At 46.2% G+C, this 20909-nt stretch overlaps 2 long non-coding RNA genes across 3 annotated transcripts in view; one reads left to right on the plus strand and one right to left on the minus strand.

Moving 5' to 3' along the window:
• The window catches only part of LOC105379829 (uncharacterized), a 38060-nt gene that overhangs the window by 2110 nt on the left and 15041 nt on the right, over window positions 1-20909 (minus strand). The window contains exons 2-3 of the long non-coding RNA XR_001746828.2: window positions 8528-8635; window positions 1532-2609 (exon numbers count right to left, since the gene is read on the minus strand). This is a non-coding gene — a long non-coding RNA (uncharacterized LOC105379829). The remainder of the gene's footprint in view (window positions 1-1531; window positions 2610-8527; window positions 8636-20909) is intronic.
• On the plus strand, window positions 3504-4862 carry LOC105376143 (uncharacterized). Of its 2 annotated transcripts, none has more exons than XR_001746829.2 (3): window positions 3504-3592; window positions 3723-3826; window positions 4779-4862. It is a non-coding gene; the product is annotated as an uncharacterized LOC105376143 (long non-coding RNA). The 2 variants fall into 2 exon arrangements; XR_930110.2 differs by lacking the exon at window positions 4779-4862 and adding an exon at window positions 4514-4596.

The following is a 20909-nucleotide window of genomic DNA, read 5'->3' on the forward strand; positions in this document are numbered from 1 at the left end:
CAAATGATTTCTTTAATATAAATAAGTTCCTGTGAATAAATAAAAAGAAACAACTCCATAAAAATGATCTAAAAGTACGAACGAGCTGTTTATGAGGAAACAAAAATGGGCAAGAAACATGTTCAACTCAAACACAAATAAATGTAGATAAAATTATTGTATGTAGTTTTTCTTTTATCAAAATGACAAAAATTTTGGTAATGCCAGTATATGCCATGAAAGGCATTCTGAAGAAACAGTGTTCAGGCTGGGATCTGAAGGGCGTGTGGGAGTTATTTGGGTAGAGGGCGGAAGCATCCCAGATCGAGAGAACACTGTGTCCAAAGGCCTGTGCTGTGGTGGCATGGAGCCTTCTTGTTCAAAGAACTGAGGGGCCATGTGCCCATATTGGATGAGACAAGCTGGACATATGGCAAAAACCTGGCACAGAGGCAGGAATTTTGTCTTTGTGCTAAGAGCCATAAGAAGTACTTGAAAGGAGCCAACAACATACCCAGAGGCGTCTTTGACCCAGTCTCTCTTTCACTATATAAAAATCTCCATCTTTTTCTGGAATAAAAGGCATAATATTATAAAACTGTCCATTCTTCCTATGCACTCTATATCCTAAGCACTAATAGAATCTATTAATATGTCCCTGTAATGGAGCTGGAGAGAGTCTAAACAAGAAAAGAGATGAGAGGGCACTTACCAAGTAGATACAAGTATTTGTTATAAAGCAGGAGCTGGCTTTATAACAGGCAGTTAGAGTGTGAGGAATTGGGGCCAGGTGGGTTTACATGCATAACCTTCTCCAAGAGCAGGATTGATTTAGAAAGTGCCGACTTCCTATCTGCTGTGTAGATCAAAGGTATCAATCCACTTAAAGGGCTTAGTTTAACACACAGCACATGAGAAATGCTCAATATATCCTTGCTATTCTGATGGCTTTCCATCATCTGTCCTGCTAAGCAAAGAAGTCCAAGATGTACTAAAAGTTACAGAAGTGATAAAGAAGTGCTAAAAGTTACAGAATAGTAAGCTTTCTAAAGTCCCACTTGTGTAAAGATAAAGTAAAACAGAAGAATATGCTTGTATATAATTGTATATGCAAAAATATTTCCTTCTTGGGAAGCAGGGGGTGAATAGAGATTATGTTAAACTTTGACACTTAAAACCTAAAAATAACACGTTTATTGTAGCAACCTTGGAGAACAAAGAAGATCACTTGTTATTTAAAGTAGATAGGCTGAATGTCAAACGTGTTTAGGACTTAAAGGAAATCCCTTTAATGAAAGGAAATATGGTTCCAAGTAATTAAATCCATGGGCTGCCTTTGTGCTGTAGTTAGAAAATAATCTAATATGGAGGAGGGAAAGGAGGAAGAAAGGCTGAATTTCAGGGGCAGGACAGCAAATCCGATTCCAGCTAATACTCACCTTCCAGGAGTTTTTTTTAAAGGCCAATGAAGAAATTCCTATCATTAATAATAAAGAACATCCCAACACTAGCATTTCCAATTTATTGTGACCTGTTGCGCATAGAGACTTACTGACTCATGAGAAATGCACCTCTTTTGAAGAGTCTTCTAGATGGATGCATCATTTCTGCACTCAAGATTGTGTTCCATTGTGCAAAGAGCTACTCTAGGCAGCCTAGTGGACATGCCGGATGACTCCACCCATGGTGCTTCCAGCAAGAAGTTAGACAATGGAGTGGGGAGAAAGGATGCTGGGCTTCCTCTGGCTCTCAGATCACCCACCTTTATTATGATTAGGAAATTGGAAAACCAGCCACAACCAAATGCTTCAGGAATACCTCGCCTTAGGAGCTAGGGACCAAAAAGAGGCCCAGAACTATGAGTGTCTGCTACTTGCTCATGAGCAAAATGGCTGCTCCAAGCCCTGCTCTTGACACTCACAGAGCCACTGCCCAGAAATCAGGACCTCTTGCTAAAACTGCTGCAGAAAACCAGGACCTCTCCACTGTGCTTCACAATGGAAATGGCAGACACGGCAAAGCGCAGCCCCCACTCCCTTCTGTCCTGTAAATGGCAAGTAAGTGCACCTAGTCAAAATGAAATAAAATCAGGCCCAGAATCTAGCTGCAAGGGAGTTTGGAGAATGTCATTTTTAGTATTACAACTTCTGCACACAGGCTGGAGAGTAGAAAGCGTGCAGAGCTCTGGTCCGCCAGGATCCAGTGCAACTCAGAGTGCAGATGCATTGATTTCCAAACAAGAATTGCTGTCAATTGACTGCAGGGTAGACCATAAGCATTCCGGGTCTCATGGGACCGCACTTGTCTCTCTTCTTTGCCTGCGAGATCTCCCCCAGCTCCTGTACTCAGCAGTAGTCACCCCTGCAGTAGGTACTGTGAAGGAGGATGCTGAGGTCAAGGAAGAATCTTCAGCCTCAGAAATGTCTTTGATTGTGAAGTCACAGAAGCTGCCTGGGTGGCAGACTGCTTGTGCACTCCTGTGCAGATCAGGGGCTGCAACCCAATTCTTGCCCCACAGCAGGTCAGTGAGAAGGCAGACCTACAAATCAGCATGTGCTTGCTTCATATGATTTGTCTCATTTAACTGGCCAGACAGCTGAGGCTTAAGTGGTGTTATCAAAATACCAAGGCTGAAATAAATCAACATAACAGAGTTTTAGAACAAATAATCAATATAAAGATAATTAAAAGTAAATACATAATCTGAAATAATTTGGGGGAAATAATTCAGGAACAGAATGAAGAGGGAAACCCTCAGGTTCTCCTCGAAATATTGTAAGTGAGTCAGAAAACAGGACCAGTAATGGCAGAGGCAGAAGAGCGGCAGGAGACGGCGGTTACCCCACAGCAGAACGCTGCTCTGTGAGAATCCCCCAGCAGGTACCCCATTCCAGCTGTGGTTCGCCTACAGGCAGTCAGCCTCCCTGAACCTCTGCAGAGGGCAGGGATAGTAGATCTGCCCTTTAAGACCCATGCAGAGGTGCTGAAATGACAGTATTGGTACTCTGGATACAATGGAAAGTTCATTAGGGCTGATATTAATGGTAGTCACTGTCATATTTTCAGTTGCTTTCAGCAGTATTTGGGCCCCAGGATACTGATGTTTGCTCAATACATGAGCCTGCAGAAGTAACTGGGAGCAAACACCTGATATCAGTATTAAGCATGTGGTGCCGAGAACAATATGTTACAGAATACTGCAGACCCACTTAAATCATTCTTTTGTCTAAGAATGTGGGGTGTTCAGTGGATAAGTGAGAGTCCATGGATTTTGCTCTATGGCTGATGAAAGGAACGTGATGTGTGACATTTAGCACCGGTGTCAGGAATGGCTCTCCTGTTGGCAAACTTATTTCGCACGTGCCTATTCATCATCTATCCTGGGCACCTCACTCAGGTCCTCATGAGTCCCCTGTCTTCTCAGCAAGCATTACCTCTCTACTCAGACCAAGGCCTTGTGAGGGATGGAGGGTCACTAAGATGCACTTCCTGTCCTGAAGACATTGTCAGTCTCCTGGGGAAGACGGACTTCAAGAGAACAAAGACGAACACTGGATCCCTACTGGATTTGGAGGTCTACAGAGAGGGCTGCATTTTGTCCAGAATTTGGAAGGTAAAAATGGCCAGAAAAATGCAGAGAGGGAGGTTCTAACCCAAAGGAGCTTTATCAGTCAGATGTTCAGTATGGTGCTGCTGTAACCAACAGTTCCCTTGGAACTGACACGTGTCATATGTTTCCCCAGCTTATCAGACACAGGGGCCAGGAACAGAAGCCTCCCACAAGCCCAGAAGGACATACTTAATGCACAGCACTGATTGCTACAGGGACCAAGATGGGGACTTACAGGTGCATTTGGGGAAGAGGGCACTGGCCAGAAGGCCAAATCCACGCAAGGTGTGGGTTTGGGGAGGAGGGATGTGTCATAACAGAGTTCCCAGGAACAGCCTCTGACTTGTGCATAGGCAGTAGACTGGGGGTGCCCCGAGGGTCAATGCCCATAGGGAGTAAGGAGACAGGACTGGGTAGCAGGAGAATTTGAGCTGTGGAGGCCCAAGGAAAGGCTCAGCTGGGGGCACTTCAGGCTTGTCCTAATGCACCAGGCTAGACCTTCGTGCACCTCCTAAACCAGCCATTGGATGGGGGCAGCTCAAGGATGGGGTAGAACCTGGCTGAGGGCAGGCCCTGGGGAGGGCTCAGCTAGAGACTTCAGTAGCATTGCTCCAGCAGGAGGCGGATGTGGGTGCCAGCCACAAAGGAGTGTCCTATGGAGCACTATTGTCTCCAGCACAGAAGAAAGCCAGGGGCCTGGAGATGCCAGGCTAGAGATTCTCAAGCAGTCATTCTTGTATTGCTAGAACCACAGGGGCAGAAGATTTCAGAAGTGTCGATGGGTAATGCCTTTCCTATGGGCTTGACTGGGATGTACACTTTGCATAAAGTATATATTGTGAGGGTTTAACAACACACAAAGGACACCTGCACCTTGGCAAGAGAAAACGTAACAGTATGTGTAATATACCATCTGCTTTTCAGGTGTGGGAAAACTGTATGCAAAAACAAAACCCAAAAAGGACCTGAATTTCTGCCCCTGTTATAGTGTGATGTAGCAGACAGACCTGGCATATTTGACACCCTGATTACTGCCAACACTCCTCTCTTCCATAAGACAAAATTGTCAGTAATAATCATGACATGAAATAAATATGCATGAGCTAAAATCTGAACTTACCTAATAAATATGGTGCACCTCACAGTTCTAACCCTATGTCGCTGTCTGGAATTTTAAACACAAATGCAGATTCCAAGTGGTCACACTGAAGGAACTCCGATGTGTTTCTTCATCTTTACCTTCACTGTGCAGTCGCTGCGTAGGTCATATCTGCTGCATCCATGCAGGAACAGGAATGTGTAGCTCCGTAGGGCTGAGGATCCCAGCAGTGCCTGAAGCAAGCTTGAATGATCCAGGGCCCTGACAAACGTCTCTCATGATGCGCCTGTGGAAGCTCAGTCCATGTGTGTCAGAGATGACCATATTGCTGGGAGTTCTCTGAACTGACACGGTGTTTATTAAGTTATCAGTAATGACTACATGCTCACCTGAAGCTCATGTACCTATCACTGAAGCTTTGGTAACTGCAGCAATTGTTCAGAACTCTCACCAGAAAAGATTTTGTGGGAAAAGAGCATGTCATGATTGACATTGTGGGGAATTCCTAGTGTGCAGTGACAATAAAGAGCAGGCTCACTGGTGCTTGGTTTTATTATTGTTTTAAAATCCCCCACAGATGATGAGCCCCCTTCTAGCCTGCGCCAGGGCAGACCCCTTGCTCACCCCGTCCTTGGTGCTCTGCTGGGATGGCACTTCTCACTGCCCTTATGTTATTTTTTTGCCCCCAAGTTCCACTGAATTCTGGTATAACATCTCCAAAATCGAGCAGCATGTCTCAAGAATGAAAGCTGGAATAATTCAGAACATAACCATTGTGAGCCAAAGTCTCCCTTCTTGGTTTCTAAAGGGATGAGAGAGAAAGCAAGGATGTGTATGTGTGTGCAAATGTGACTGTGTGTTAGACGGCAATGGGAACTGAAGGCTGTGGGGACAGAACCAGGAGAAAGAGGTTTTGTTGGAAACTTGAATTCAGTAAGCAATGTATTTGGCTTCCCTATGCCTTGCTTTCCTCCTCTACTAAATGCCAGGGAGGCATTGTGAGAATTAAGAGAAAATCTTCATGAAGGCCTTCAGCACTTTAGCTGCCTGAGAAGCAAGTACTCAATAAAAGCTAGCTCTGCAATAACAAGGCTATAAGCATCTCTATGTACGTCTCCTGGGAACAAAACCACAGAAAGACATCGTGGCCACTAACTGGGGAGCCCACCATGCTGACCGTGAGTCTGGCATTGTTCCACCTTGAAGGCTTTTCCACTGAGCATGACGGAGATGTGCTGTTGTCATGGTGCCACGACATTAACCTCATCCCACACAAGCTGTGGGGCAGTGACTCATAGCGACAGGTGGCCAGGCGGTTTACACAAGGAGGGTGAGGTCTCTCAGATCTTGGAGAATTGAGCATTAGACAGGTACAAGCACAGTTTAAGTATAAAATCCATCCAGGAATCAGGTCCTTACATTTCTTTGGAATTTTCTACAACTGGGTTATGAAACTAACCATATTATGATATAAGGCATTTCCAGAATGCAGTGATGGTAATAATTGCTATCACTTATTGGACACTGACTACATGTCTTCTCCAGAGCTCCACACCAAGCTTTCATCTTTGTTTAGGTGTCCCCCAAAGCAGATGCTACAACAAGGACTCAAGAGCAGGTGGTTGGCCGGGCGCGGTGGCTCACGCCTGTAATCCCAGCACTTTGGGAGGCCGAGGCGGGCAGATCACGAGGTCAGGAGATCGAGACCATCCCGGCTAAAACGGTGAAACCCCGTCTCTACTAAAAATACAAAAAATTAGCCGGGCATAGTGGCGGGCGCCTGTAGTCCCAGCTACTTGGGAGGCTGAGGCAGGAGAATGGCGTGAACCCGGGAGGCGGAGCTTGCAGTGAGCCGAGATCCCGCCACTGCACTCCAGCCTGGGCGACAGAGCGAGACTCCGTCTCAAAAAAAAAAAAAAAAAGAGCAGGTGGTTTACTTGAGCAGTGATCTGGGAAACCCAAGCAGGGAGAGGAAATGCAAGACAGGGATAGAAAGGATGCCACAAAGTGTGCACTCAGGAACAGGTCACTGCTGGGGCAACTGGGCTCAGTGCCCGGGGGACCTTCCAAGTCGTGACCTGGACTTTGCCCTAAATCATCCTACCATAAGATGGGATTCTGGGGTTATCTACTCCCTCTTGTCACTCCTTGGCTGAGGATGCCTTTGGTGAGTTACACAACTGGTACTTCTGGGTCACCTGCACACGTGCACAAGCTCCCGAGGCACCCAGGAAAAACCTCGGGCAATGATGCAGAGCAGGCTTTGGGTACCAGCCTGGGGGACTAGGAGTCATGGCCTGGTTTGCAGGGAATCGGTAGAGGGTTTTGGTTATCCTCAGGTTCCTCCCACTTGGATCAAACCCTGCTGCAATGTGGATGGGAAAGACTAAGACACCACCCACCCCCAGGGGAAGTGGGAAGCTCAAAGACCTCGGCATTTGTGTTGCTCTGTGGTTCTCGGCATGTGGTCCTGATGCCAAGAACCACAGAGCAACACAGACTGAGCTGCCTGCGCCGTCCTCTGATAAATAACTTCCCCTAACATGCTGGACTGGACGTTCAGCCCCTACTGGGGATGGCTTGGACAGAACTGTCTGGCTTACTATGTTCTCTCTTCTAGAGTCAGGGTCATCCATGGGAAGGATGGAAGAATCTCAGGCAAGTGACTGGGACACTTCTGTGAGCGGGGCCATCACTTAGCAGGGTCTCTAAGGGGAGCCTAGAGAAGTAGTGATGGGAAGGGCTGCCCAGGGAGCTCTGCCCTCTCACTGCAGTGGGGAAGGAAGGCCTGGGCCAATTCTGGAAAAGGGAAGCCTGTGACACTGGTGGGTAAGGGGTCAGTAGTGTCACAGTGGGGAGTGGGGCCCCATGTCTCTGATGCCACTGGTGGGGAAGGTGGACCTGGTGTCACTGGAGGGGAAGGTGAGCCTGCTGTCACTGGTGGGGAAGTTGAGCCTGGTGTCTCCAGTGGGGAAGGTAAGCCTAGAGTCACCAGTGGGGAAGTTGAACCTGGAGTAAGGTGAACCTGGTGTCCCAGGTGAGGAAGGTAAACCTGGATGTGGAAGGTGAGCCTGGAGTCACCAGTGGGGAAGGTGGACCTGGTGTCTCCAGTGGGGGAGGTAGACCTGGTGTCTCCAGTGGGGGAGGTGGACCTGGTGTCTCCAGTGGGGAAGGTGGACCTGGATGGGGAAGGTGAGCCTGGAGTCACCAGTGGGGGAGGTGGACCTGGTGTCTCCAGTGGGGGAGGTAGACCTGGTGTCTCCAGTAGGGGAGGTAGACCTGGTGTCTCCAGTTGGGGAGGTGGCCTGGTGTCTCCAGTGGGGAAGGTGGACCTGGATGGGGAAGGTGAGCCTGGAGTCACTGGTGGGGAAGGTGGACCTGGTGTCACCGGTCAGGAAGATGAGCCTGGTTTCTCTGGTGGGGAAGATGAACCTGGTGCCTCTGGTGCGGAATGTGAACCTGGAGTCACCAGTGGGGGAGGTGAAAGTGGAGTCACTGGGTTTTCTCCTCGCCTTGGTGATAAGGGTCCGCGGATAACAGAGCACCTTGTTTTACAGCTTTACAATGTTCTAGTCAGATTACACAGAAAGGGCACTAATCATTTCTCTTCCTAACTCACCCTTCAATTCTGGAAAACAGTAGACAATTTTTAATACTGTTGTCTCTCTGCTATCCACATTTGCGTGAAAAAAAAACTGCATATTAGTGGACCCTCAAAGTTCAAACCCATGTTGTTAAAGGGTCAGCTGTAATTCCATTAGTAATATTAGCTGCACCTGGAGATAAACACCCGGGGACCCTCGAGTTCACCGGTGGGGGAGATTTTCCCAAACTCTTACCTTCAAGCAAATGTGGAGCAGAGCAGACCTCTGAGGGAAAGTCCTGGGTGGGGTTTGCTCCATGTTCCTTCCACTCTCAGGGTGTGGAGCCCCCACAATCTCCCAAACCTAGAGAGAGTAAACTGAAGCTTACTGTCCACCAAGACTGAAGGATGTTCCACCTTGTAAGTAACTGACAGTCGGATGACTCTTTAGTTGTCATGGCAGGTGCTGAAGGGCCAGTGCTAAACTCCGCTCAGTGCCTAGCATCTACTAGAACTCCCTCATGTTGTCCTCCTTTCCTAACAATTGTTACAAAGCATTCAGCTATAAAGTCAGTGCCTGAGGAGGAGAAAGCCACTTGCTTTCCCTTGTTTAAGACCCTCTTGCCCGTGGCTACTTCTGCTGGGGTGTTGCCTGGTTCTTTGGCATGAATTACCCCAGTATTGCTCAGGGTAGTGGGCCCACATCACAGCATCTGAGAACTCGCTAGAAATGCACATTTTAGAATCCTTCCCTAGAGCTTCTGAAGCAGCAACCATAGGGGTGGCCCAGGAGTCTGTGCTTTCACATGTTTCCCGATTATTTGTATGAATGCTGAGGTTGGACACACATAGACTTTAGCACAGGTGCGGCCTGCCCATTCAGGTATCCCTTTCTCTGGGATCTTGCCAGAATTCATCTCTTTCTAACCCCAGGACAAGCCAATTACAGGATCCATCAGAGACCAAATCATATGGAGGCAATAGCCTTACTACGTGTTTAAATAATAGTTTCTAAAAGTTTTTCTGCATGGTTGAAATATAGTGCTGGGACGGATTAAGCAGAGTGCTATGGGCTGAACTGTGTTCCCCCGAAAGTTCAAACATTGAAGTCCTAACTCCCAGAACCTCAAAATGTGACTGTATTTGGAGACAGGGCCTTTAAAGAGTGGGGTACATTAAAATGAAGTCCGTAGGATGGCCTGGTGTCCTTATAAGAAGAGGAGATTAGGACACACACACAGAGGAAAGGCAATATAAGGAGACATGGAGACAAGACACCATCTGTAAACCAAGGAGAGAGGCCTGAGGAGAACCAGCCCTGCCAACCTCTTGATCTCAGACTTCCAGCCTCCGGAACTGTAGGAAATCATTCCTGTTGTTTAAGCCCCTGGCGTGTGGTACTTTGTTATGGCAGCAGAGCCGACTACAACACAGTAATTCAATTAACTTCAAGTATTCCACTGAGAGGTAGCTTTTGAGTTAAATAATATTTAAGGAAAAGAGGGAGCATGACATTGACCATTTAATAAGATGAAGACACCTGCCTGTTGTAACCAGACTCTGTAGACCCCAAACTTGCAGCACAGAACCACTTATTATTACCCAACTCACGAGCGATGTGAATCACTCCATGGCAGCCTTCACATCACTGCACCCATGTCTGACAATGAGTTCAACTGTATAATTAAGTAAATTAAGATGGCCAAGGCCACTGGATCAGATAACTTATCTTTAGATCCATGAGTATATTTGGCAGGAACATCAAGGCTTCATACAGATGGCTTCAGAATGTTTAATCTGAATTTTTATTGGCAGCCGTATCTAGCACAACCAATTCACTGTGAAAACCAAAGTGCCAATTAGATCTTGTTTGTCCCCCGTTGCAGCTTTATGAGGCTGTTGAAATGAGAGTAGCCAGGGCCCAAGGGTAGGGTGGCGGACAGAGTGTGGCTGACTTCTATTTAAGCTTAGTTGGCCACCCAGGAATTGCATTTCATTGAAATGGACCCATTCTGGCATTGTAGACTGGGGGGATATAATGTTATTCCCCATCTCACCCACACAAGCTAAACCAAGGTGTCTAAAAACATCCTCTGATGTGGAGGAGATACTAATGACATTGCTCTAAAGAAACTTACCTAATGCCCACCTGAGACAAAGAGGTTTTGAATCACTATTTACCCTGACCTACAAACTAATTTGTAGAACACGTTAAGACCAACAGCATCTGTGGCTCCCAGCTTCTACAGCATAAAGCTGATTGAAAATAATTTAAACCAAATTGTATAACTGACATCTAATCTGTAGGCATATCTGAAAGTTGGCAAAAATCAGAGCTAGCCCGTATTGAACCTGCAGCCACGCACGTGCCCACGTGTGCCTATGTGTGGATCTGAGCGATGTTCTCTCCAGTGCCTATCATTCCAGAGGTGTCAGGCAAAGCCAAGAAAAGAATCCACCCGTTCAATCTCCACATAGACAAGGTGCAAAGGTTACTAAACGGTCTATAGTAATCAAAGTACTCATTTCAAAGACTTGTGCTCAAGTCTGTGCTGCACAGCAAACAGTAGTTGGCTAAGAGGAGCAAGTGAAGAACACTTATCAGGCACCAGCTTGTGTCAGCAATTGACCCAAATCTCACATCACACCACAAGGCAGGAGTCAGAGCCCATTTCACAGACGAGGACCCTGAGAGGCTAAATGCCTCTCCCAAGTGGGAAGAGCTAGCACTGGACACAGGTGGTCTGACTCAAATCCAGCCCTGTGGGTGACCTGGGGATAAATCACACCACAGACAAGTCATTTGAGTGCCCTTCCAGCCAGTAGTGACAATGTTATTTGCCTTTTAGGCAAATCAGAGTATGCTGTGGTCACTTTGCCTCTTGGTATTTGCTCCTGCACTGAATTGAGGCTGGCCTACTGTGATAAATTGCATGTGGCAGGATCATGTTGTGTGACCTCCAAGGCTGGGTCATAAAAGGTCTTGCAGCCCCCACCTTGGTCTCTTGGATCACTTACTCTGGGGAGGCTAGCCGCCATGTCATAAGGACATTCAAGTAGCTCTGTGGAGAGGTTCACAAGGAGAGGAGAGGGGCCCTCATGCAGCAGCCAGCATCAATGTGCCAGCCACGTGAGCAAGTCACATTGGAAGTGGATCCTCAGCCCCAGATGAGTCTTCAGATGAGCCACATCCCCAACTGACATCCAACTGCAATTGCATGAGCCAGATCCTGAGACAGAAGCACCCAGCCAAGCTGATCCCAAATTCCTAACCTGTAGACACTGTTTACGGGTGACTTTTTGCATGGCAATAGATCATCAATGCCCATATAAATCTCTTCACCCTATTTCCATGTATTAAAAAGAGTGATGCTAGTAGGACGTGGCACCATCTCTGGCAGTAAAAAATAAGTAAGTAACACTACCTGCTCCACCAGTCGATGACAGAGTAGCAGGACCCCAAGGAGCTCAGCAGCTCCCAACTTTTGGTGTTACCATCCTCCAGGTGTTAAAGAGCCCATGGTTAGGACCCACAAAAGCCCTGTGTATTCTGATAGCCTTATGTATACATCACGAAAAGAGGTACCATCCTCAATTCCTCTCTTCCTCTTATATCCCAAAATATACCTCAACAGAACCTGCTACAGCCACCTTCAAACCTATCCCAAATTGACCTGCTTTTCTCCATCTTAAAACCACACCCATGGACAACCCATGGGTTGTCTCTCCCATGGACAACTGCAGCAGCCTCCTAAAAGGCACCCAGGCTTCCTCTCTGGCTCCATACAGCAGCCAGAAGGGCCTAACATAAATTCCATCCTAGCACTCCTCCCTCAGGCGCTCCTGTGGGCTCCTGTTACCTGGAGAGTAAAATCCACTGCTTTCCCTGGCCTTCAGAGTGCACCCCAGCTGGACCTGCCACCAGACCTTTCCCCTGGCAGTCCTTCTTTCTGGAGCATTCTTCCCGTGGATTTTATCTGGCTTCTTTCCTTCATTTCTCCTCACCTCATGGTCACCTGACCACCTTTCCTAAAGAAGCTACCTGATGACTCCTTTGCGTCTCCCTGTACTGATTGTCTCAGTCGGCTCAGGCTGCCACAACAAAACCCTGGAGGCCGGAAGTCCAAGACCAAGGTTCTGGCAGGGTTGGTTCTGGTGAGGGCTCTCTTCCTGGCTTGCAGATGGCTGCCTTCTTACTGTGTACTCACACAGGGGAAAGGGAGAAAGGGGGCGAGTGCTGGTGTCTCTTCCTCTTTCTATAAGGGCACCAGTCCTGTGGGATCAGGTCCCACCCTTACAACCTCATTCCACCATTGTCACCTCCTCACAAGTCCTGTCTCCAAATGCAGTCACACTGGGGATTATGGCTTTGACATATGAGTGAGGGGGGTAGCAAACATTCTGCCCATAGCACTTGTCTTCTGCATTGCCTTTTACATCGCTATTTTTCACTGTTTTAGTCATTTATGGATTTGCCTCTCTACCCCACCTACCTTAACATCCCCAGTGTCAAAAGCTGTTCCTGGCATGCTGTAGGTAGCCAGTAAACATGGGGTGGGTGCACGAGTGATGAGTATGTGAAGCTGGAGAGAATTGCACATGGCTGAGATATCAGAAAGACAGAAGCGAGTTCCTGCATGTATTGAGCGGCGGGGTGAAGGGGCTCTTTATATTGATTTGCATCCTCCTCTTGGTCTTAATACTGATAGAAATTTATGCAATCAATGGGCAGCTTATATTTGTGTACTGCTTAGGATTCACAAAGCTTCTAACGCACATGGCCTCGTTTGCTCCCCGCAACATTCTGAGATACAGTGAGAGTCAGCACCCCTGTAACAGCTATTATTGCAAAGAAGACCATCCCCAAATTTGCTAGCTTCAAACAACCACTTATTTAGCTCATGATTCAGCTGATCAGCAATTTCGACTGAAAGCAGCCAGGCGGTTACTGTGGTTTGGGCTGTGCTCCCTCATGTCGCACCTGTCTGGGAAGCTGGGGGTCAGCGAGAGGGTGTGCTTTGGTGACGTGGCTCACAGTCAGCTGGGACGCCTCTGCTCTCCTCCACACACCGTCTCTCTCCCAGCAGGCCAGCCCAGACTTGTTTGCAGGCAGAGACCAAGGAGTGAGAGCTGGCAAAGGGCACCAGGTTCAGGAGGCCCAGCTCAGAACTATGCATCCTGTTAGACAAAGTGAGCCATGAAGCATCCCATCTCAAGGGGTGGGAAGTTAGACTCTGCCTCTTAACAGGAGGAGCTGAAGAGTCACACGGGAAAGGACGCAAGGAAGGGATGGAAAGTGGGGACATTTTTGCAATCAATCCATCATGTTCACATTTTACAAAAAGAGAGACTCAGAAAATGTAATGACTTGCCCAAGGTCACAGTGCTCAAAGACCTGAACTTGGATTGCCTGCCCCCGAACTCACTGCTCAGTTCTCAGTGAGCAGTTCTGAGGGTGCAGCAAGCTCTCTCTAATGTTAGTTGCTGACTTTCTTCACCAACCTGCTGATGTTAAGAACCTTCCCCCATACCACTTCATCCAAGGTTTATGGCAATGATTTTGTACCCTCATGCAAATGCTGTACACTGTACACTGTACACTGCACTGACCGCATCCCAACAACAGAGGCTGTCTCTTCTTTCTCTAAAAACGCTCAGCTTAGATTTAAGTATCGATGCCAAATGAGGAGTGCCATGCTTTGGGCTTAAACACAACTGTCCTCATGAAGGTTCAGGCAGGCTTTTTGCTCTTCTTTGGTGACATTTGATTGACACCCTGAGCATACCTTCGAACTGTGTAGGTGGCGACCGTGAAAAGTGCAGGGCTGGTGGATATAAAGAGAGTGGGTGACAAGCCCGAAAGTCCACACTCTCTTAGAGTGCAAACAAAAACAGAAACAATGATTAGAGGCTGACTCACCCACTGCGTGGCTCCATTAGAAATTTCCAGTGCAGTTACTTAGGCAGCAAATCACACTCAAAAGACTAGATGCTGAAAGGATAGATTTTTTAACATACTCTCCACAAAAAATATATATATAAAAGTTGGTGAGATGACGGATATGTTAATCAGCTTGATTTGACCTTTCTACAATGTATACATGGATGAAAACATCACATTGTGCCACATAAATATGCACAATTCTTATTTGTGAATTAAAAATATATTAATTAATTTTTAAAAACCCAAATGCCTTACCTGGTAGGAAGGATTTGAGACTGCCTTTTCCTGTTTTTAGCCAATTAGAAAAAGATTAAAATATAATGCATTACATTTACTAAAAATGGCAATTAAAAACCATCATTAACAAGTGTTTAAATCAAATAGTGCATGATGATGAAAGAACAATTAGTGCACAATTCTGTCAAGTTCTTTCTCTCATAGAAAACAGGATAGCTGAGTAATTTAGATCAGGGGTTGGCAAACCATATCTTGGAGCCAAATCCAACCTGCCGCCTATTTTTGTAAATAAAGTTTTATGCGAACACAGCCTCACTCATTCATTCATGATTTGTCTATTTCTGCCTTCATTCTACACCAACAGAATTGGGTAGTGGGAATGCAGGCCCTATGACCTTCAAAGCCTAAATTATTTACTCTTTCGCCCTGTACAGACAAAGTTTGCTGGGAACTGGTCTACTTCCTGGAATACCAAGTTCTGTAAAGGTCCTGGGATATGGAGGATAGGGAGAGGGTGGCCAGTCCATCGGTCTGCATGGTACATGAGGCAAGTGTGACATGCTATCCTCCAGGTGCATGGAGCAGTGTGTGCTCCCAGGGAGAGTTTGCTGAATTGAACAGCATAGAATCAAGATCCAGCTGATCCCCAGGTTGGAGAACATGCAGAATGTGCCCCTTCTCAATCCAATTAGCTAGAATCTCAGAGAACCAGTTCAACTCAAGCCCCGACAGTCTGCCTGCAAGCCCAAATTAAAGCAATGGTGCAGTTTGATGCTCCTGTTTTTGCTAGGGCACCTCTGAACCAGAATTACTCCTTGAGTCACGAACTGCCCCAGATGAGACTCTGTTATGCTCGGGGAGGACCTGAACTGCTAGAGGGTGAAAGAATCAGGCAGGTCGACCCTTTGGAAACTCAGTTTGCCCCGAAGGCTACACCCAAAGTGGTCACAACCTAAGTTCAGGCACAAACGGTTCCCTGGTTCCAGACATGCCCATGCTGTTGGGGTTGCTGCTGTCCCTGATGTATGCTTGTGTCTGAAAAGGCCAGAGAGGGACCAGGGGCCCCTCTCAGGCTTGATTTATACAAGGGCTCACATCAATCTGGATGATCTTGGTGAGACAGGAGAATAGGGAATTAGGGCAACCAAGTGTTAAGTCATAAGCAAAGGAAAGGCGGGTGGAGCCAGTTCTGGGCAGGATTCGGCAGTGTGTGGACCACATCTTCACTCCTGTATTGACAGAAGTTTCCACTTCAGCCTCTGACCATGGGCAGGGTCTCCACTTCAGCCTCTGATTGGTCTCAGGCCAATCCTTCATGGGGTGCAACCAATTGGAGGCGTCTAAAGAGCACCTAGGGGTGTTGCCAGATTTTTTTGGCTTAATAAAAACCCTAATTGGGGGATACTCTTGAGCTGCTTGCTGGAGCCTGCTCCCACTCTGTGAACTGTACTTTCACTGCACTAAATCTGTGCTTTTGTCACTTCTTTCTTTTGTTGTTTTGTTTTTCATTGCTTCGTTCTTTTGTTGCTCTGCTTGTGCATTTTGCTGAGTTCTTTGTTCAACACGCCAAGAACCTGGACAACTCACAGTCAAGACCTTCCATCCAGTAACACTGGGGCTGTCACTATGGCTAGTGCAGCTTAAGAGCCACCCCCTGCTTTTGTTCAACATGAGCTAATCCCATCACCTCCCAAGCCTCTGGGTCTGCAAGCTGGGAGTAGAACTGGACTGCCTGCACAAAAGTGTTAGCAGCTCAGGGCCAGAACCCTTTAGACTGTCCCCATGGAGCTGCCCAGGTGATGAAAACAGAACTGGGAGGTAAGGCTAAGAATACTTTTCCTAGAAGTGAAGCAACTCTGCATTCAGGTCTCTCTACATCTTGCTTGGTGGCATCAGGCTCTTTTCCTTTCTGTTGTCCTCCTTCCATCCCTCCACCCAATCTCCCTTTCTCTCCATGCACTCAGGGCCCTCACTTCTGGCCTGGACTGTATTAACAAGCCTTTGTGTGTCCAGGAGCCTCTCGTTCCTCTCCTTGCCTATCCATGCATTCTTCAAACATAAGGACCGTCCCGCCACCACCTAAAGGAGCTCATAGCAGCTCTTTGGGAGACATTGGTGGGCACATCCCAGTCTCAAAGGATGAATAATAGGAGTTGGAGTCAAGCATGGGGCCTCTTCCCTTTGCCAGTGATTGAATTAGGTGTGACAGGAAAGACAATTCTGATCCAGGAGACATGAGGGGACATCTGCAGAAAGGACCTCTGAGGAAGGTTGTCCTTCCTATTGAGAAGAGGGCAGGGGAAGGGATGGCACTGACCACTTCACTTTCCACCACTGTGGCTGGACATGGTGCCTGGACAGTGGCAGGTGGTGTGTAGGAAGGCAGCCCACCACAGACCAACACCAGCATGAGATAGAGAGACCTGCATTCTTGATGATATTGGCAGGCTGATGAATTAATTGACTCTGGAATCACACCGACTCCAGAATTTGTTATTTGTGGGAAAATGTACTTTTTTGTTCATTTAAGCTATTTTAAATTAATTTGCATGTTATTTGCTTAAACAAGCTTTGAAGTACCTGCCACCAATGAAACACCATCCCTGGACCCAGGGGCCTTCTTTCCGCTAGGCACACCTGCTCTGACTCTTAGAGGTTCCCTCTCAGTCTTAAACATCCTGGATTCCTTCCCACACTGATGCTAACCTAGGCTCAATTTCAAAGTCTTCCCATTGGCCTGTATTGTCTCACAATTTCTCCTATCATGTCCAAAGATATTGAAAATTTTATTTAAAACTGAATCACTCTTGCTGGAGGCCAGGAGTTCAAGACTAGCCTGGAAAACATAGCGAGACCCTATCTCTACAAAAAAAAAATTAAAAAATTATCCAGGCATGGTGGGATGCACCTGTAGTTCCAGCTACGCAGGAGGCTGAAATGGGAGGATCCCAGGAGTTCCAGGCTGCAGTGAGCTATGATCACACCACTGCATTCCAGCCTGGGTGACAGAGACCTTTTTTCTAAAAAAAATAAAAATAAAAAATAAAAACTGTCTCACCATACTTCTGCTTCTGGTAATGATGAATTCGGTTATTTGAAGCAAAATTCTTGCTGAGGACACTATGAAAGCAGAATAAAATATCAAATCATCAGTCTAAGGGCATCAGAAAACTAAAAATAGAGAATAAAGTAAAGCCAGGATTGTGTAAAGATGGAGATCCCAACAGGTGAGCTCAGCATTGGGGCTGCTTTTCCCTGGGGGCATTTTACAGTTTTAAGAGGGCATTTGAGAAGCAGGGCAACAGGTTCAACAGGCTCAGAGAACAGTCTCCCAAGTCAAGGAGGGAACAGAGCATGAAGCCAAGGAGAAGTGTGGTAGAGAGGGATACTTTATTTATGTCCAAGGCAGATGGCCATGCAGTCGTGAAAGAAAAATCTTCTCAATAAGTGGTAGTGGCTTTGCTTCAGATCCATATGGAAATAAGAGAAAATTGCTACCTTATACCACACACACACATTTGCAGGTCTAAATATGAAAGTCAGAACACATCTTTTGAATAAAAATGTAAAAGAATATCTTCTTGAACATTGGCTAGAGAAAGACTAATTAAACAAGCAGTAAAATGCATGACCCATACAAGGAAAAACTTGATAAATTATTCTACAATAATTCTAAGACCCCCTAGTCATTGAAGACACCAGGAAGAAAGAAAAACGTAAGCAGCAAAGTGGGAGGAGATATTTGTAGTGTGTTTAACTTGAAGAAGATTTCTGCAAATTATTAAGATAATGACAACCATGTAGAAAATGAAACAAGAGACTTCAAATGACCAATAAAGATATGAATAGGTAATCAAGGAAAATTAAATGAAAATCACCATGCCCCATGCATCAGAATGGCCAACACAAAAAAGCCTGGCAGCACCAAGGCTTTGGTTGAGGTGTAAAGTTATAGAGCCCTACCACCCTGGAAAGGGTTTAAGTCAGTACAACCACTTGGAAAGACTGCTTGGTGTAAATTATTAAAACCAAGGTCATGAAGAATGGAGGACCCAGCACATTTACCTCTGGGTATGTCGGTTCCGAACAGCATTGCATGGACAAGTACACCAAGAGGTAAATACAATTCTTGTGGCAGCAGTGCTTTCTACAGCCCCTAATTGAAAATGATCCAAATGCAAATCAATAATAAAGATGTATTCCTAGGTATGGAACTACACAAGAATGATCTACAGCTAAACATCATAGCAAGCCAGATACACCAGAACGCTTGCTGCACAATTTCATTAAGATAAAGATCAAAACCCAGCAAAACTAAGTCAACTATTCAGTTGCTAAGGGACAGCAAGGAAATGATTTCTATAAAAGTTGGGATAATTGTTACCTTTCGGGGCAGGTCCTCTGGGAGTGGCAAAGTTATCCTTTCGACCTGAGTACTGGTTATGCAGGTTTACTTTGTGGATAAATTATCTTGGTCCTGTGTACTTTTCTGGTTGTATTTTATATTTCACCATAAAGAGAAGATAAAAGGAAAATTGACACTCAACCCTCATTCAGTGAAGCCTTTGGGAATAGGCTCTGCCTGGTTTTTTACACTCCATGCCAACATCGACACGAGTGTCTACATATAGACGCTGCTGCATTTCCTTCTAGGTGCTGGATCTCATGGCTGATCATGTCTCTGGGTTTGATTTCGGCACACAAAGCTAAGCACTACCTGGATGCAACTGCAACCATTCAGGATGCAACTGCAAGCCCTTCTGTGAGACAAACTTACTTTGGGCTTTATTATTTCTTCTACTCCTCATTTTTCTATAAAACTTCCTCAGTGATTCATTTGATTCTTTCTTGTTATATATACGTATATTGTGATAAGTAATGTTGCTTCAGTTTGTGTAAGTAGCACTGTCTTTGCTATCTATTGTTATTGCAAACAACAGCCCTACAATTTACTGAATTGAAACAATGACAACTGATTATTCCCCATGACTTGGCAATCTGGGCTGAGCTCAGCTGGGCTGGGTAATAGTGTCTGATGTGGTTGGAACATCCAGGATGGCTTCTTCACTTGGCTGGGAGCTGCCTGGACATCCTTTCTCTCCATGTGGCCATTTTCCCAGATGGGTAACTGAATTTCCTTACCTGAGGCTCAGCACTGTAAGAGAGGGTGTCCCAGGAATATAAGCCCAACCTGCATGCTCTTATCAAGCCTGGGCCATGCTTTCTGACATCCACTGGCCAAATCAAGTCAAAAGCCAAGGTCACTGGGAAGGACAGCACAAGGCGGTGAATATCAGGGATCATCAGGGCCACGAAAATAAGCCCATCACGGATACATGGGAATAATCAAATGCATATATTCAGAAATGCATAGAGCAATAAAATAACTTGGAAAATATTTCTGTATCTCTGTAAAAGTTTTCCCTTGTTTGTCAATTTGACCAACAGCTTACTAGTGATCAAATCTCTACCAGTTTTAGCACATGTTCTCCATTTGCAGCATGACTGCTTAGAAAGTTTTCCCTAAGATTAGGCATTTTTATGAACACTGTGATGCTCATAAACCTCAGAGGTGGGAGATCCAAAATAAGTCTCAGGTCCCAGGGACCTAACATTAAAGGACACAGCTCCTCCAAAAAATGTGCAATGGGAGGAGAATTGAGGTGCCATGGGCTTGCCCAGGGCCTGGGCACTCCAGTTACCTTCCTGGAAGGCTGGCTCTGACCTCAACACCTTTCCTGAACTTCTCAGAGCAATCTCCTTGCTGCATTGTCCCCTCAGCCTGCCCCACTACTAGAAATCCCTGTCTTGGTATTTTGGTATTTTGAGATGAAAACCACAGAAGACAGTAGGAACTGCTGGGAAATTCACCTGAACAAACAGGACGTGAGAAAGCCCAGAAATAAGGCATCATCCTTAGACGAGGGGGCCATGCAGTCTGGGGAGGAAAGTGTCTGGACCATTCAAAATCTGGATTGCAAATCTTCCATCACCCCGCAGCTACTTCCTTTGTAACCCTCTGGAGCACGCTTCCTTCTCCACTTTCCCTCATAAGCATTTCTACATTCAGTGCCTGTAGATGGGGTGGCTGGCCAGGGTTCCAGACTGTTTGCTACTGCTGCTTCCAAACAGCTACAAGCTGCTGAGTTATTCCTCTTGTTGGTTGTTCGTGGAGCCACCATAAGATACCCACCACAGTCTCTGATCCCTGCCTGCCTGGTTGAGCTGTTATGCCACATCGTTTCCCTGACTTGGTCTCCATGCAGGGAAAATCATGGCGTCTTATTTAGCCTGTGCCTCAGGACTGATGCTGGCAGAACTGTTTAAACAACAAATAAATGTGCTTAAAAAGTCCTTTCATTTTGTCAAAAGAAGGGAACTAACAATTTATGAGAGCTTACTATATGCCAGATGCTTTATTTATTCCCTGACTTAGTTCTCACAAAAAACACTTGAA

Source organism: Homo sapiens, chromosome 9 (genome assembly GCF_000001405.40).
Source record: "Homo sapiens chromosome 9, GRCh38.p14 Primary Assembly".
NCBI classification, from domain to species: Eukaryota; Metazoa; Chordata; class Mammalia; order Primates; family Hominidae; genus Homo; species Homo sapiens.